At 45.0% G+C, this 18,684-nt stretch overlaps 1 pseudogene across 1 annotated transcript; it reads left to right on the forward strand.

Annotated features, from left to right (window-relative positions):
- The first annotated feature begins 3,631 nt into the window (after nt 1-3,631).
- Nucleotides 3,632-14,645, forward strand: SSX8P (SSX family member 8, pseudogene; annotated as a pseudogene). Its single transcript, NR_027250.2, has 8 exons — nt 3,632-3,895; nt 5,675-5,763; nt 6,199-6,313; nt 6,989-7,084; nt 8,945-8,994; nt 10,968-11,104; nt 13,488-13,592; nt 14,055-14,645. The product of NR_027250.2 is annotated as an SSX family member 8, pseudogene (transcript).
- The last annotated feature ends 4,039 nt before the right edge of the window (nt 14,646-18,684 follow it).

An 18,684-nucleotide genomic window follows, 5' to 3' on the forward strand; every position in this document is an offset into this window, starting at 1 on the left:
GCTCTTCCACTATGCTCAGCCATAGCTGGTAATAGAAATGATATTATCTTGGAAGCTACACAAAGGACCTGCTGGCCTAAAGGTGTGAATCACTATGACATACATTCTGAGAGGAGGGCTATGGGACCAGAGGGGAGAGCTTCAAGCTACAGAGGATTATTCTGAGTACTTGAAACCAAATGGAATTTGTCCTGCTAGATTTCAAAATGGTTGGAAGCGGTGACTCCTTTCTTCCAGTTTCTCCCATTTGAAATGGAAGTATCTGTAACTATTATCCTACACCTGTCTCGCCACTTTATTTTTGGAACAGATAACTTGTTTTCTAGTGTCACAAATTCACAGCAGGAGAATTTTGCCCCAGGATGTTTCATAACCAGAGTCTCACCCATATCTGTTTTAGATGAGGAGATTTGGTAATTTTGAGCTGATCTTATATGGATAAAATGTTGGACTTCAGCTAATGTTGCATGGTTTGAGACATTTGAGGATTTGGGGATGGGGTGCATGTATTTTGCATGTGGGAGAGATGTGAATCCTTGGGGGCCAGAGGGCAGGTTGTGGTAGACTGAACAATGCCCCTCCAAAAGATAGTGACATAGTAACCCCTGGAACCTGTGAGTGCTAGCTTACAACAAAAAAAGTGATTATGTTGGCCAGGTATGGTGGCTCACGCCTATAATCCCAGCACTTTGGGAGGCTGAGGCGGATGGGTCACGAGGTCAGGAGTTCAAGACCAGCCTGGCCAAGATGGTGAAACCCCGTCTCTACTAAAAAAAATATATAAAAATTAGCTGGGTATGGTGGCGGGCACCTGTAATCCCAGCTACCCAGGAGCCTGGGGCAAAGAATTGCTTGACCTGGGAGGCAGAGGTTGCAGTGAGCTGAGATCACGCCACTGCACTCTAGCCTGGGTGACAGAGTGAGACTCCGTCTCGAAAAAAAAAAAAGTAATTATGTTAAAGCTCTTGAGATGGGGAGATTCTCCTGGATTATCTGGGTGGCCCCTAAATGTAATAATGAGTGTCCTTATCACATTGAGGCAGGGAGATCTGACACAGACAGAAGAGAAGACGGCAGTATGCCTGCCATGGTTTGAACGTCCCCACCAAAACTTGTGTTGAAATTTAATTGCCATTGTAACAATATTAAGATGTGCGGCTGTTAGGAAGTGATTAATGCCATTATCATAAGAGTGGATTAGTTATCATGAGACTGGGTTTGTTATAAAAGGGAGCTTAGCCACATTTTCTCTGTCTGTCTCCTGCACTTGCTTTTGCCTTTCATCCTTCCATCATGACACAACCCTCACCAGATGCCAGCGCCATGTTCTTGGACTCCTAGCCTCTAGAACTGTATACGTAATAAACTTCTATCCTTTATAAATTACCCAGTTTGTGGTATTCCATTATAGCAACAGAAAACAAACGAAGGCAATGACCATGGAGATAGAGATTAGAGTGATGCAGCCATGTATTAGTCCGTTCTCACACTGTTATAAAGAACTGCCCGAGACTGGGTAATTTATAAAGGAAAGAGATTTAACTGACTCACAGTTCCGCATGGCTGGGGAGGCCTCAGGAAACAATCATGGCCAAAGGTGAAGAGGAAGCAAAGACTTTCCTCACATGGTAGCAGGAGACAGAAGTGCAAGCAGGGGAAATGCCAGACGCTTATAAAACCATCAGACCTCATGAGAACTCACTGTCACAAAAACAGCATGGGGAAAACCCGCCCCCCCCGTGGGGATTTGTAATCTGTGGGGATTACAATTGGAGATGAGATTTGGGTGGGGACACAGAGCCAACCCATGTCAAGCCACAAGCCAAGAAATGCTGGCAATCACCGGAAGCTGGAAGAGGCAAGGAACAGATTCTCTCCCAGAGCCTCTGGAGGACTACAGCCCCGCTGACAACTTGATTTCAACTCAGTGAAACTGATTTCAGATTTCTGGGCTCCAGAATTGTGAGAGAATAAATTGATGTTGTTTATGCCACAAAGTTTGTGGTAATTTGTTACAGCAGCCAGAGGGAATTTGGGGTGATTGTAAGGAGTTATGTAAATTATGTTAAAGAACCATTGCAGTTGTAAGATGCATTCATTCATTCAACAAATAGTCGAGGCAATATAGAAGAGTAATTAAAAGCACTGACTTTGAGGCCGGGTGTGGGGTGGTTCACTCCTGTAATCCCAATGTTTTGGGAAGCCAAGGCAGGAGGATTGCTTGAGGCCAGCAGTTCCTTCCAGATCAGCGGGGGCAACATAGCAAGACCCCATCTCTAAAAAATATTATTTTAATTAAAAATAAATAAATACATAAATAAAAGCACAGACTTTGGACTCAATTCATCTTGGGGGTGAATCCCAGCTCTGTCACCCACTGACTATGTGAACTTGAGCACACTGCTTAATTCTCTGAGCCTCAGTCTCAACATCTGCACACTGGGGATGATAATAGTATTTAACTCAAGAGAAGATTGTGAAAATCAATGGGAAGATGCACATAAAGGGCTTTGTGCTGGGCTCAAGGGCCATTGCCCTGTCCCTGCCCTAACAGAGCTTGCTGTCATCCTGGGAGGATCTTAGAGAGATCAGGGCTGTAGATGGAAAGCCCAGAGAGGAAAGGGGACTTGTTGGAGGTACTAGGGATGGGGGTAGGGGAAACTTCTTAGACAAATTGACTTATGAGCTCCCTGATGAACACAGTGGGCCTTAATTACATACTCTTTTTAAAACTATTATTATAAATATTTTTAATATCAATGGGTAAAATATATTTCTGCTTCTTTGGTCTTTTAGAAAAAAACATACATAGAAGTGTAGAAGTGGTTTTTTTGTTTAAATTTCTTTTTTAAAAATTTTTTTATAGAGACGGGGGTCTCACTATGTATCCCAGATTGTTCCAGAACTCCTGGCCTCAAGTGATCCTTCCACCTCCTGCCTCAGCCTCTCAAAAAGTGTTGGGATTACAGGCATGAGCCACTGGGACTGGCTCACTGAAATTTTTCTTTCTTTCTCTCTCTCTCTCTCTCTTTTTAAAGACAAGATCTCGCTCTGTGGCCCAGGTAGGCAGCAGTAGCCAGATCATGGCTCACTGCAACCTCGTACTCCTGGGCTCAAGCTATCCTCCTACCTCAGCCTCCTGAGTAACGGACTACAGGCACACCACCCCACCTCGCTAATTTTATTTATTTTATTTTTTTGTAGAGAAAAGAGACAGGGTATTGCTGTGTTGCCCAGGCTGGGGTGCAGTGGCATGATCGTGGCTCACTGCAACCTCTGAGTCCCAGGTTCAAGAGATCCTCCAGCTGTGGCCTCCCAAAGTGCTGGGATTACAAGCGTGAGCCACCGCTCAGGCCCAAATTTCTTACGTCACTACAGAGTTCCTAGGAAAAATTCCATACCTGAAAAAGTTAGGAACTGACAGGAAGGATTTGAGATGATGACCTGCTTCATATACACTCCTTATTAAAACTGAACAACAATCCACCACTGGGGGGGTAAGGGAGATAGGAAAAATGGAAAGAGAAAATCAGCGCATGCGTACTCTGATTTTGGAAGAATCTAAAGAGAAAATCAGAGCATGCGTACTCTGAACTTGGAGTAGCCAATCCCAGGGGATGCTTTAGGCGGGAAAATCAGAGTCTCTGCCTCCATTTTGAGAAGGTTCTGTCCCTGGAGCCTGGACTGATAGACCCCACATCAGCTTGGCTTTTCCCACCTACTGTTCTGACTTCTGATTGGCCAGATGGAGTTCACTAACTGCCCTGATTGGTCCATCATCCTGGAGCAGTGACATTGCAGGATATTTTCTCCTCCTCCAGCCACACTTTGTCACCAACTGCTGCCAACTCGCCACCACTGCTGCCGACCTCGCCACCACTGCTTTGTCTCTGAAGTAGGTTCTCTTTAAGGGACACCCTAGATGGGCTAATCGGGGCAGATAGAAAAGGAGGAAGCTTCTGTAGGGCCGTCAAGTGCTTGGGGTTCCGAAAATCTTGAGGACTGAAAGACAACTAATGCCTTTCAGGACGATCATCATGGAGGATTCTCCCGCCTTGGCCTTGGGTGTACAGGCCTGTATCATCCCACCCCTGGTATTTTTGGGGGGGGGTATTTTAGTAGAGACAGGGATTCGTTATGTTGGCCAGGCTGGCCTCAACCGCCTGGGCTCAAGCAATCCTCCCGCCTTGGCCTCGGGACTGCAGGCACGCACCACCCCACCCTCACTAGTATTTTTTTATTTATTTATTTATTTTAGTACAGATGGTTTCGCTATGTTGGCCAGGCTGACCTCGACCGCCTGGGCTTAAGCAATCCTTCCGCCTCGGCCCCAGGACTACAGAAGTGCACCATCCTGCCCACGCTTTTCTTTTTTTTTTTTTTTTAGTAGAAACCGTGTTTCACTATGTTGGCCAGGCTGGCCTCAACCTCCTGGGCTCAAGCGATCCTCGTACCTTGGCCTCAGGACTACAGATGTGTGCCATTCTGCCCCTGCTAGTTTTGTTGTTGTTCTTTTTACTAGAGACAGGGTTTCGCTATGTTGGCCGGACTGGGCTTGACCTCCTCAGCTCAAGTGATCCTCCCACCTCAGCCTCGGAACTACAGGCAAGAACCACCTCGCTGATGTTATTTTTTTGTTGTTATTACTAGTAGTAGAAATGGGGTTTTGCTATGTTGGCCAGGCTGGCCTCGACCTTCTGGGCTCAAGAGATCCTCTTGCCTCGGCCTCCGGACTACAGGCGAGCACCACCCCGCCCCCACTAATACTTTTTATTTTATTTTATTTTATTTTTTTTAGTAGAGGGTTTCGCTAGGTTGGCTAGGCTGGTACCGACCTCGTGGGCTCAAGCAATCCGCCCCCCTTGACCAAAGTGCTGAGATGCTACAGGCCTGTGCCACTGCCCCCAGCTAAATTTTGTGATTTTTTTTTTTTTTTGTAGAAATGAGGGGTTTGCTATGTTTCCCAGGCTGGTCTCATCCTCCTGGGCTCAAGAGATCTGCATGCCTCGGCCTCCCAAAATGCTGGGATTACAGGCATGAGCCACTGTGCCTAGCTGATTGCTGCAAATTGAAACACCCCACATTTTCTGTAAGTGATGGCAGGCTCATCTAGTCTCAGAGATTCTAGCTCTCTTCCTTCTAATAATTTACAAATCACCGAGTAATAGCCTCTAAATCTGTTCATATTAGTGAAGGTCATTTCTCTTCAACAGAACAGAACCCCTCAACCCTCTGCCTGATCAGATCCATCACCAGAGAGACCAGGTTATGTCTGGGACTCACTTCCCTCCCTTTATTTATTGAGTGGGGGTGTCAGAACGCCCCCACTGAATAGTTACACAGTCACGTCCCTGCCTCCCCAACAAGGGTCTGTACATCTTTCAGGGTAAGCCTAGCCCCAGGGAAACTACTAACAACACTAGCCAACCCCCTCCCAAAGACTCAAGGCTGCTAGGAAACCTGTCATCCCCAAGCAATACTTCTCCCAGAGACTCCAGGCTCCCTGTTTTCGTCTGACTTCTCCCCATGTCCTTACTCAGGGACAGATAAGCCCCGAATGCAGACATGCAACCCCTAATTCCAGGTGACTGAGTGTGGCCGGGCTTCACTGATTTCTCCCTCCATAGGACCAAGGGTCCTGTAGCTAGAAAGTCTCAGGCTGTTTCTCTCGCAGGTGAGAGTGCTCCTGGTGCCATGAACGGAGACGACGCCTTTGCAAAGAGACCCAGGGATGATGATAAAGCATCAGAGAAGAGAAGCAAGGTGAGGTGACCTGGAGGGGGCAGAGCAGTGGTCCAGGGGACAGAGTAGGGTGACCAGGTTTCTGAGGAGGGGAGGACAGAGGTACTGGGGACAAGGAGCAGGGTCTCCGGGGAGATCTGGACCCTTGGGAGCCTCCCACCCTCGCTCTGTCATCACCTAGCATCCCTGGAGACAAGTCTGTGACCTTGCACTATATTTGGTAACTCTCAGTGCATTCTGGAAGGTGGGAAGAGAGCCAGACAGCAGCATTAAAGCCCTAATGTGTGCCACGGGAGAAGCTAGGGTAGGTCCCCCATGGTCTCTCAGTTAGCCATGGCATCAACCAGGACGGATTATCATCCTCACTTCCCAGATCCAGCACACAGGAAGCGGCTCCAGCTGAATGGCAGACATACCTAGCTGAGTCGCCGCCAAAATTTCTTTTTTTTTTTTTAGGCCTTCAATGATATTGCCACATACTTCTCTAAGAAAGAGTGGGAAAAGATGAAATACTCGGAGAAAATCAGCTATGTGTATATGAAGAGAAACTATGAGGCCATGACTAAACTAGGTAACAGAAAGTTCTAGGAACAGACAAGTCTGGGGATACATGAGCATCCCTTTTCCTGCTTTGGCTACTTCTTAGGCTGCAGAAAGTACCCCACATTTTCCTTTTGTGCAGGGAAAAATCACAAGGCAGCTTCTGGGTGTTCTGCTCTTCTGTATCCTGTCAGAGCTGAGGGCAGGGACTGGCCATAGTGGAGCTTGTACCTGGACCCTGCACTTTTCTCTCCCTTAGGCATCTGTTCTGATGAGCCCAACGGTCTCTGTGGCATTGCAGCACACCTCCCACCCTACCTTCCTTCTCTCGGCTTGTCTTTTTCTCTCTCTCTCCCTTTTTTTTTTTTTTTTTTTTTTTTGAGTCAGAGTCTCACTCTGTCACCTAGGCTAGAGTGTAGTAGTGCAATCATAGCTCAATGCAGCCTCGAACTCCTGGGCTCAAGCAATCCTTCTGCCCAGCCAATGGAATAGCTGAGGCTACAGGCACATGCCACCATGCCCAACTAATTTTATTTTATATTTTGTAGATATGGGGGTCTCTCTATGTTACACAGTCTCATCTTGAACTCCTGGCCTCAAACAATCCTCCTGCCTCAGCCTCCCAAAGTGCTGGTACGACAGACATGAGCCACCGTGCCAGGCCTAAGTTTGTCCCTTAAGGAATAAACATTTTGCTTCTTTCTAGGTTTCAATGTCACCCTCCCACCTTTCATGTGTAATAAACAGGCCACAGACTTCCAGGGGAATTATTTTGATAATGACCGTAACCGCAGGATTCAGGGTGAGTAGATGGGAAGTGGCTGGAAAGGTCTCCTGAAACCCAGTTGCTTTTCAGCTCAGCTACCTGGGAAAGATCCTCTGACATTTGTTCTCTCATACACATCAGGGTTGAGTGAAAAAAAAATTGCATACAGAAAGTTAACTACAGAGGCTATTCATAAAATTCTAAAACATGCAAAACAGTAATATGTATTTTCATGGATAATAAGTAAATGGTAAATGCATGAAAACATGAATGCGAATAAAAAGGCATCAAATTGAGGAGACTGGCTGTAAATGGAGAAGGGCCGGGGGCAGGGATTGGTGAGTGCTGCACAGACAGCTTCAGTCATGACTTGTTGATAGTGTGTTTTGTTTTGTTTTTGTTTTTGTTTTTGTTTTTGTTTTTGTTTTTGTTTTGAACTGGAGATTTGCTCTTGTCGCCCAGGCTGGAGTGCAATGGCACAGTCTCAGCCCACTACAACCTCTGCCTACCGGGTTCAAGGGATTCTCCTGCCTCAGCCTCCTGAGTAGATAGGATTACAGGCACCCGCCACCATGTACACCTAATTTTTGTATTTTTAGTAGAAACGGGGTTTCACCATGTTGGCCAGGCTGGTCTCAAACTCCTGACCTCAGGTGATCCACCCACCTCAGCCTCCAAAGTGCTGGGATTACAGGTGTGAGCTACTGCACCCAGGCCGTTTCTAGTGTTTCTAACATTCTAAATAAATAAATCAGATCTAACATAGTCATGGGGTAATGTTGAGATGCGACTGAACTCGATATTATTCCCCATACTTTTCTGTGTGTTTCAAACATTTCTTTTTTAAACGACATGTTGTTCTTGCTACACACTGTTAATGAATGAAAGGACAGTTAAGACAATTTTAAAAGTGAAAAAAAGGAAAATGTTAAAAGTGTAGATCAGCCAAAAACTTCCAGAGATTGTTTCATTAACAGCATGTAGATATTGGATAAATATCTTAAGAGAGAGGGTGATGAACACATTAGGTAATAAAGATCGCTGTTTCTCTGTACTTTATTAAAACCAAATAGTCTTCTCATTCCCAAACAACCCCAATTCTCCATGATGAGCTTGGAAGTGAGTTTGAAAGAGTGCTCCCTCATCTAACACACAGAGAGCTTTCCCAATTGTCAGTGAGCAGAGATAACATAGGATGAAAAAAAGACAGGTTCTTCGGTAGAGATCTTTGTGCATTTCAGGAATATAAAGGGGACATATGTGTTTACCTGCTCTTCTGCTCTGACAATACAATCATAAGACAAGGTCGGAGTGTCTAAACTGTCCTCAATATACCTATTACTCCCCAACTAAACAGGCCAGAATCAACCATCTCCCGCAATCACTATAAGAGACCTGAAAAGCCAGTGCTTGAGTGTCTGCCAAGTTTTGACATTAAAGGAGTGTCTTTTTACTGAAAATATTTCAGAGCCACTGGACTAAATTATCCACGGTTCATCACACATTTAACAGCTTAATTCACATACCATAAGATCCACCCATTTGAAGTGTACAGTGATTTTTAGTTGTTCACATCTTGAGTGGATACAGTTCAGATTCCCAACCAATGAATTTAATTATTTGGGAAAAAGTAAAAGATATGTAATGGAATAAGATGAGACTGTGATGGGATTTAACCCCCATTTGACAAACCATGAGATGTAAAATTCTGAATTGATGCCACAGATAAATGCACCAACCATTACTAAACATAATTCAGAAGCAAATCTCAAATAACTCCTCAACAATGAGTGGACTCATACCCCTTTGCTGCAGAATGCCCTCATGCGACAGAAGTCTCTCTAGAGTTTGGAAATCTTTACCAACAAAGAAAAATTCTGATGTATTCTCTTCCAGTTGAACGTCCTCAGATGACTTTTGGCAGGCTCCAGAGAATCATCCCGAAGGTGAGTACCTCTCAAATCTAAAGGACCAGAGAACCTTTTTCCCTTCATGGATGTGAACACTGATAAGAGTGGGAGAATATCAAAAATGCCCTCATTGCCTCTTTCTCCCCATGTCTATCACAACAACTTATGTAGCACCGACGGCTTGATAATACTAACAGTTGTGATCCTTAATACTTCTTTTGTTTTCATAGTGATGCCAGATACTATTTTAAGGAGTTCACATGGATTAATTAATTTAATCCATAAGAAGACCTCTATGATGTTGTTTCTTTTATTATCTCCAAATAGTAATGAGTCACACACTTCGGTTGTCATCCATATAAAAGCCATGTGACTTGGCACAAATCTTCTAAGTTATTGGAGCTCCAGATTCCTAGTCCATGAAGTGGAAGTAAAGAATAATAGTTCATGTTATAGACCATAATTATCAGCAATATAACAATAAAATGAGGCTATCATGGTACAGAGATGTTAAAGAATTTTCCTGGGGCGCAGTGGCAGTGGTAGTCTAATCCAGAGCTTCAAGCCATTTAAAGCTCATTCACGTTTGTATTTGTTTATGAAGTTCAGATGTTGCTCACTAGGGCTTCACCCCATAGGGCCTGATGGTGCTTCCATTGAGACACCCACTCTCTCAACAGGAAGGACCAGCTGGCCTCTCTTCTGTTACCGGGGCCACTCCCATGGCTTAGGAATCGCTTTGACTGTTGGCCCCTCCTTGAGCTCCTTAAGGGTTTTGTCTGCACCTGGGGCATCCGAGAAGCCCCAGTCCCAGCCCAGGGGATCCCTCAGAGGCCCCTGAATGAGTGATTCTGGAAGTGCAGATTCAGCTCTGGTTTAGAAGGTAAAGGGATCTGGGAGTTGGGTTGCCAGTATGGAGAACGAATTCAAAGAAGGATCCAGAAAGGTATTCATTGTTATTATTATTACATTTGAACAACGTTTACAAGCTCAGAGAGGACTTTCCCTTAGTCTATTTTACATGTATTATTCACTATTTCATAAGTGAGGAAGTTGAGTAAAAAGTAGTTTAAGGGCCGGGCGCGGTGGCTCATGACTGTAATCCCAGCAATTTAGGAGGTCAAGGCGGGCAGATCACGAGGTCAAGAGATCGAGACCGTCCTGGCCAACATGGTGAAACCTCGTCTCTACTAAAAATACAAAATTTAGTGGGGCCTGGTAGCACCTGCCTGTAGTCCCAGCTACTTGGGAGGCTGAGGCAGGGGAATCACTTGAACCGGGGAGGAGGGGAGGAGGAGATTGCAGTGAGCCGATATCGCGCCACTGCACTCTAGCCTGGTGACAGAGCGAGACTTTGTCAAAAAAAAAAAAAAGTAGCTTAATATTGTTGGTCAGTGACATATCTCAATGCAACCAGAATTGGTATGGGCACCACCTCACTGAATTCCACATTCAATGTTGGTGCCTCGGTAGGGTGGTATGCCATATCTGTTACTGCTTTCTTTGCTGCCTAGATAAATTTCAGCAAACCATTTCTTTCCCTCTCCCTTCCCTGTATTCATCTCCCCACACCATCTTTCCCAGCAGTGTTTTGTCCCCTCTCTATGTTTTTACATTTACTCTCTGAGCAGCTGTCTACAAGCTTATATGGGATCCCTTGTATTTTATAGAAGTTCTTCCTTTTTTAGACGTTGTGAATTCTTAGAATGCTGTTTTTCTCCAAATCTTCTGTGTACCGCACTCTCAATCACATGGAGATTTCTGCTGTTTGCACGAATGTCAGTCTTAAAAAAGTGTGAAGATAAGCATTCTAATCCTGGAAACCCCATTCATTTAGGCCATTCCTTTTGCTTCTAATCTCCCAGGTTTCTCTTATTTAGGCAAGTGTAACTCTCCCAGCATTGTTGAGAACATTGATTAAGGTAATGCATGTGAAGATGCTTTGTAAGCTCTAAAGCACTATAGAAATGTCACTGATTCTGTTTATCTGTGACCTTCACATTATAAAGATCATGCCCAAGAAGCCAGCAGAGGAAGGAAATGATTCGAAGGGAGTGTCAGAAGCATCTGGCCCACAGAACGATGGGAAACAGCTGCGCCGCCCCGGGAAAAGCAAATACTTCTGAGAAGATTAATAAGAGATCTGGTAAGAGGAATCAATTTGGGAACAACTCCTCTGGCTTTTCTGGCTATGTTCAGGTGTGTGGACTGGGTGTGTGGCATGGATCCCAGACAAGTCTGGGTCCAGGCTGGGCTGAGGAGCTCGCCCAGCTCCAGATGAGATGTTAGACATGACTTCCAGAGACACAGACTGGAGTTGTCACCCATATAAAAAACCACGTGACTTGGGGCAAGTCTTTCAAATTTTCTCAGCTCCAGACTCCTAGTCCATAAGATGGAAATAAAGAATCATAGTTCATAAATTGTTTGGAGACATTAAATTTAATCTAGAAGGCCTGATGACATGAAAGGTGCTCAAGCGATTCTATCAGTGATAACCTGGGATCATATCTTACTCAGCTCAATGCCTGATACCCAATGCAGGTGTACTTCAGAGATATTGCAGATTCGGTTCCAGACCACTGCAATAAAGTGAGTCACACACATTGTTTTTCGATTGTTTTGCAGTGCATAAAAACATTATGTTTACACTATAGTGTACTCTACTAAGTGTGCAATAGCATTATGTCTAAAAATGTACATACCTTAATTTTAAAATAATTCATTGTTAAAAAATGCTAACAATCTTCTGAGCCTTCAGTGAGTCACACTCTTCTTGTTGGTGTGGGGTCTTGCCTCAGTGTTGATGGCTGCTGGCTGATCAAGGTGGTGGTTGCTGAAGGGTGAAGTGGCTGTGGCAGTTCCTTAAAAGAACACAACAGTGAAATTTGCCACATGGATTAGCTCTCCCTTTCATGAAAGATTTCTCTGTAGTATGTGATGCTATTCGATAGCATTTAGCCACTTTAGAACTTCTTTCAAAGTTGAAGTGAATCCTCTCTAGCTGTGAAAGTTTTAGATGACATCTACTTCCAATAAAAGGCTATTTTATCTTTATTGAAAATCTGTTGTTTAGTGTAGCCACCTTCATCAGTGATCTTAGCTAGATCTTCTGGATAACTTGCTGCAGCTTCTCCAACAGGGTTTGCTGCTACACCTTGCACTTTTATGTTATGAAGATGACTTCCTTCCTTAAACCTCATGAGCCAACCTCTGCTAGCTTCACACGTTTCTTCTGCAGTTTCCTCACCTCTCTCAGCTTTCATGGACTTGAAGAGAGTTCGGGTCTTGCTCTGAATTAGACTTTGGCTTAAAGGAATGTTGTGGCTGGTTTCATGTTCTATCCTGATCACTCAAACTTTCTCTATTTCAACAGTAAGACTGTTTTGCTTTCTTATTCGTGTGTTCACTGGGTATTAGTATTATTATTTCCTTGAAGAACTTTTCCTTTGCATTATATACTATTCTTTCCTTCAAGAACTTTTCTTTGCATGCACAGCTTGGCTATTTGGTGCAAGAGGCCTAGCTTTCAGCCTATCTTGGCTTTCAGCATGCCCTCCTCACTAAGCTTAGCCATTTCTAGATTCTGATTTAGTGTGAGAGAATGCAAGTCTTCCTTTCATTTGAACTGTTAGCGGCCATTGTAGGATTGCTAATTGTCCTAATTTCAGTATTGCTGTGTCTCAGGGAATAGGTAGGCCCAAGAAAAGGAAAAGAGTCGGGAAGCGCTCATCGGTGGAGCAGTCAGAACACACACAACATTGATCAATTACGTTCGTCATCTTCTCTGGGTGGAGTTCCTGTTACGCCCAAAACATTTACAAACAACAGGGTGACTATAGTCAATAATACCTTAGTCATACATTTAAAAATAACTAAAAGAGTGTAATTGGATTGTTTGTAACACAAGGATAAATGCTTGACCGGATGGATACCCTATTTTCCATGATGTGATTATTACGCATTGCATACATGTATCAAAACATCTCACATACCCCATAAGTATGTACACCTACTGTATATCCACAAAAATAAAAAAAATTATTTTAAAGACTAAAAAACAACAAAAACAATTGCAATAATAACATCAAAGCTCACTGATCACAGATCACCATAACAGATACACTAATAACAGAAAAGTGTAACATTGGTGAGAATTCCCCTCAAAAAATTACAGTATCTGCAAAGCACTATAAAAATGAGGTGCCATAAAACAAGGTATGCCTCTGTGCCCTTAACAAATATGTGCAGCATGAAAGGAGGTATGGGTGAATGTTCCTGTAAATGAAGACGTTGGGAATCTAAACCTGACAACGGAAGGAGCCAGAAGCTAAAACTTTAATTGGTATTTGTCGTGTATTGGTGTGGATCTAAGGTCTCAGCCTCTTTAAGCCAGAGAATGTGAAAAACTGGATAAAGAAGGCCCATGGGCACTTGGGAGGGGGGAGGCATCTCCTTTTTTTGAGAAAACAGAGCCTAACATTCTTCAACCTACCCAGTCCTCATCTTCCAACTCTTCTTCATCATAGGACCCAAAAGGGGGAGACATGCCTGGACCCACAGACTGCGTGAGAGAAACCAGCTGGTGATTTATGAAGAGATCAGAGACCCTGAGGAAGATGATGAGTAACTCCGTAAGTGAACCTTTGGCTCATCCCCCACATCCCTGCAGATGTGCTATTCTGTTATGGTACTGGTATCCCATCTTGTCATTTGTTTCCCAAATCATTCCTTTCTCATAATTTTCTAGTGTACAGCATTGAGGCTGAATGATGAGATTTCCCATGCTCTTTCTACTCCCTGCCCTGTATATCCAGGGATCCTCCCTACCCAGGATGCTGTGGCTTCCCAAACCCCAGGTCAGCCCTGATATGTGGCCACACCTTCCTCTAGCCTAGGAATGGATAACCCAGGCGAGGAAGTCACTGTGGCATGAGCAGATGGTTCACTTCGAGGAACCATGGAAGGCGTGTCCAGGTCCTGAGGTAGGGCAGAATCAGAGTGTGCAGGGTCTGCAGGTCTGGAGAAGTTGAGATTGAGTTATTGGGCAGTGGGAACTCGCTGTCACTTACTTTCCTTCTCTCTTCTCGCCTCAGCCTGGGGGATATGACACATGCCCATGATGAGAAGCAGAACATGGTGACCTTTCACGAACATGGGCATGGCTGCGGACCCTCGTCATCAGGTGCATAGCAAGTGAAAGCAAGTGTTCACAACAGTGAAAAGTTGAGCGTCATTTTTCTTAGTGTGCCAAGAGTTCGATGTTAGTGTTTCCATTGTATTTTCTTACACTGTGCCATTCTGTTAGATACTATCCTTTTCAATGATGAGCAAGACATACTTAATGCATATTTCGGTTTGTGTATCCATGCACCTACGTCAGAAAACAAGTATTGTCATGTATTCTCTGCATAGAACAGCACTATCCTCATCTCTCCCCAGATGTGACTACTGAGGGCAGTCCTGAGTGTTTAATTTCAGACTTCTTCCTCTGCATTTACACACCACACAACACACACACACACACACACACACCAAGTACCATTATAAGCATCTCCCATCTGCTTTTCCCATTGCCGTGCATCCTGGTCAAGCCCCCCTCACTCTGTTTCCTGTTCAGCATGTACTCCCCTCATCCGATTCCCCTCTATCAGTCACTGACAGTTAACAAACCTTTGCAAACATTCCCCAGTTGTTTGTTCCTCTCATTATTGTACACACAGCTCTGTGCACATGTGTGAATATTTCTTTAGAAAGATTCTTAGAAGTGGAATTGATGTGTCAAAGGAGTCATTTATTCAACAAAACCCTAATGAGTGTGTCCTCGGGCTGAGCGCTATTCTAGGTGCTGGAGAGACATCAGGGAACAGGGCAGACAGATGTTTCTGACCACCATTCTAGAGGAGGATGTTTCCAGTTGTTCGTTTTCTTGATTTGTTTGTTTGTTTCTTCTAGAGATGGGGTCTTGCTCTGTCCAGGCTGGAGTGCAGTGGCATGATTATAGTTCAATGCAGCCTTGAACACCTGGGCTCAAGCAATCCTCCCACCTTGGCCTCCTGAAGTACTAGGATTACAGGCATGAGCCACCGCACCTGGCCTCCAGTTTTTATTTTGATAGAGACTATACACTTCAGTCCTGGAGCAGGATTCTGTAGCAGGTGGTTGGGCAATTTGGCCTTCGCTCTCTGAACAATTTTCGGGTTCTAGGGCTGTGATGGTCCATTTGGGAGTATGTGGGAGGAGACACAGATGAAATCGTCATCTGGGGAACGTGGAGGAATGAGGAAGATGCATGCACTGTAGACCCTGTGATGGCCAGGGAATAGAAGAGTCCACTTAGTCTCCATGCAGGGGATCAGCAGTGGGAAAGTCCCCTGGACAGAAGCATGAGACTGCCCATCAAGGGTCTCACCAACCAAGGTCCTGGGGGCTGGGGTGGAGATGATGATTTGGGAATGGGACAGTTCTTTCTCACAGGTACCATTGCAAGGTGCAGAGAGGAAACAGTTGTGGGGAAGGGAAGGGCAGAGGGGAGTCTATTTTAGAACGAACCATTGTGTGTCAATGGAGACATTAAGGTTCCATTTACACACAGCGGACTTGAAACACCAGCCCCAGGTGGAGGCAGGATTGGAGCTGTTTTGACCATCCGTAACCCATCACCTTGGCCTCCTGGTTCTCCCCAGCCTTAGAAGGAGGACACTATCATCATTATGCCTATGTAATAGATGAGAGACAGAGTCCCAGAGAGATGGTAGGTGTCTTGTCACAGGTCCTACAGCTGGCAGGTGCAGGAGGGGCTGAGTTTGGAGTTCACTGACTCTAGAAACATTAAGGAGGACAAGCGTGTGTGGTGGAGGGAGGGAGAAGTGAACAAGCCCCGGGTTCTGTCCCCAGTCACAAGGTAGATATTGTGGGTTCATTTACCCAAGACAAGGAGCCCTAGGACAGAGAGAGTGCGGGGAGGGAGAGGCAATCACGGATATAGTGGGGACAGTGGGAGACAGAGATATTCAGGGTGGGCAGAAGAGGGGCAGGCAAAGAAGCAGGGGATACCCAAGACCAAGTGTGGGCTGTCACAGCCACCAGAGGGAGAGGATGCCAGGAAGGAGGTTGTGGGGCTCCAGGAGCAACAGAGGTTCCCCAGATCTCTGAGCATGCCCTGCCTGGCACTGCAGGAAGAGGTGGCTGCCACCCAGGTCAGTGTGGACGTGCCTCTACCTGTGTCTCAGAGGAAACACATTCTGTTTTATCCCAATATCATTCTGTATTACACAAATGTAACATTCAGCTACTAGATATTGGGTGCCTTATCCTCCATGCAAGTAGAGGAGAGGATACCCTAAAAGAGATACTAAAGGATTTGATTTTTCTTTCTCCCTGGGATGATGGGATCCGTAAGTTGGGTCCCCCAGCCCACAAGACAGGTGCAAGGAAGGGTGGCTGGAAGATTGTGAGTCATGACAGGGAACATTTTTCGTTAGGTTCCATGGGTATATAAAGCTCCCGACTATCTGTCTATCATGAATAGATAAAGAGTGAACATGGTCCCCTCTCCACAAATGTGTTTCTCTCCTTCATTATTACAGTGAAGGTCTGAAGTTCCGTCAAGTTCTGATACATTACTTTTTTTTTTTTTTTTGAGACAGAGTCTCACTCTGTCATCCAGGCTGGAGTGCAGTGGCGAGATGTCGGCTCACTGCAACCTCTGCCTGCCAGGGTCAAGCGATTCTCCTGCCTCAGTCTCCAGAGTCGCTGGGAACACAGGCGCGTGCCACCATTCCCAGCTAATTTTTTGTATTTTTAGTAGAAACAGGCTTTCACTGTGCCAGCCAGGTTGATCTTCTGACCTCGTGATGTGATGGCCTCAGCATCCCAAAGTGCTGGGATTACATGCGTGAGGTACCGCGCCCAGTGATGCATTACTTTTTTTTAAATTTTTTTTGAGACAGAATCGCAGTCTGTTGCTGAGGCTGGAGTGCAGTGATGCAAGTACAGCTCACTGCAGCCTCAATCTCCCAGGCTCAAGGGATTCTCCCACTTCAGCTTACGAACTACCTGGGACTACAGGCACATGCCACCACACCCAGCTAATTTTTGTATTTTCTGTAGAGACAGGATCCCACTATGTTGCCCAGTCTGGTCTCAACTTCCTGGCCGCAGGCAATCCTCCTGCCTCAGCCTCCCAAAGTGCTGAGATGACAAGTGTGAGCCACCTCACCAGGCCTTCACTTTCTTCAATGAACAATTATCAGAGTTTCATCTTAGAGGCAAAAGTGACTATTGCCAGCCAATCTGAGTGTGGTGTTGGAGGGGAATCTGGCTGATTCAGACATTTCAAATGAACTTTTAAATTAACCTACCTGATGATTATCCTAAGGCCCTTTCTTGCTCCATGTTTTTTTGATTCTGGGTTTGGAGTTTTTCAGAAGCTTTCCTACAAAGAGCATCTCCTGGTCGGGCACAGTGACTCATGCTCTAGTGCCAGCACTTTGGGAGGCCAAGACAGGCAGATCACTTGAGGTCAGGAGTTTGAGACCAGCCTGGCCTACATTGCAAAAACTCTGCCTCTACTAAAAATACAAAAATTAGCCAGCTGTGGTGGTGGGCACTGGTGACTTCCAGTTCTTGCGGGGGCTGAGGCACGAGAATCACTTGGACCCGGGAGACACACCGTGCAGTGAGCCGAGATCACGCCACTGCACTCCAGCGTGGGCGACAGAGTAAGTCTCTGTCTCAAAAAACAAACAGCATCTCTCGCCTACACTCATTTGAGCTGTGGTCTTGTCTCCTCGGGTTTCTCTGTCAGTCTGATCCCATCTACTCTATCTACCAGGAATGCCTCAATATTTCTGGTGGACCACTGACACGTCTTCCTATTTTCCTCTACTGTCAAGGATTGACTCTTGAAAACATTTTCTTCCTACTTTGATGGAATGTTGAGTGGGGCACGGGATCTAGCTGCCATCTTGTTCCAATCACCTGTTATTAGATATTTCATGTATTTTTGTCACAATATAAGTGTAATTTTTCTCAATTTGGTTTTCTAAATGGCTATTATTAGCATGTAGAAACCCTATCTATTATTGTTAATAATATTTTGTTACCTGTCTGGGTACAGCTTCCCATGCATTTTGGCACAAGACTCAATCTATTTTATTCTTCAAAACAAAACTGACAGGCTGAGTGTGGTGGCTCACACCTGTAATCCCAGCACGTAGGGAGGCCGAGGCATGTGGATCAACTGAGGTCAGGATTTCGAGACCAGCCTGGCCAAGACGGTAAAACCCCATCTCTACTAAAAATACAAAAAAAAAAAAAAAAGAAAGAAAGAAAAATTAGCCGGGCATTGGTGGTGCACGCCTGTAGTCCCAGCTACTAGGGCAGCTGAGGCGGGAGGATCATTTGAACTCGGGAGGCGGAGATCGCAGTGAGCCAAGGTGGCACCACTGCACTCCAGCCTCGTGGACAGAAACTCTATCTCTAAATAAAAAGAAAAAGAATAAAAGAAAATTCACTTCACCGGCAATAGATAGTTATAAAAGGATAATTTATGGAAGATTTCATAGGGGAGACTGATGGAAAGAAAGGAAGTATACATTTTACAGAGCTGAGCAGAACTCACTGCAAAAATCACCAGAACTGCCTTTTTCTCCAAAAGTGCTACCCATAAGCTATTCTACTACTGGTTCTTCTAGTCCTTTTCTCTATTCCAAATCCTCAAAT

The sequence above is a fragment of the Homo sapiens genome, chromosome X (genome assembly GCF_000001405.40).
Source record: "Homo sapiens chromosome X, GRCh38.p14 Primary Assembly".
Classification (NCBI taxonomy): domain Eukaryota; kingdom Metazoa; phylum Chordata; class Mammalia; order Primates; family Hominidae; genus Homo; species Homo sapiens.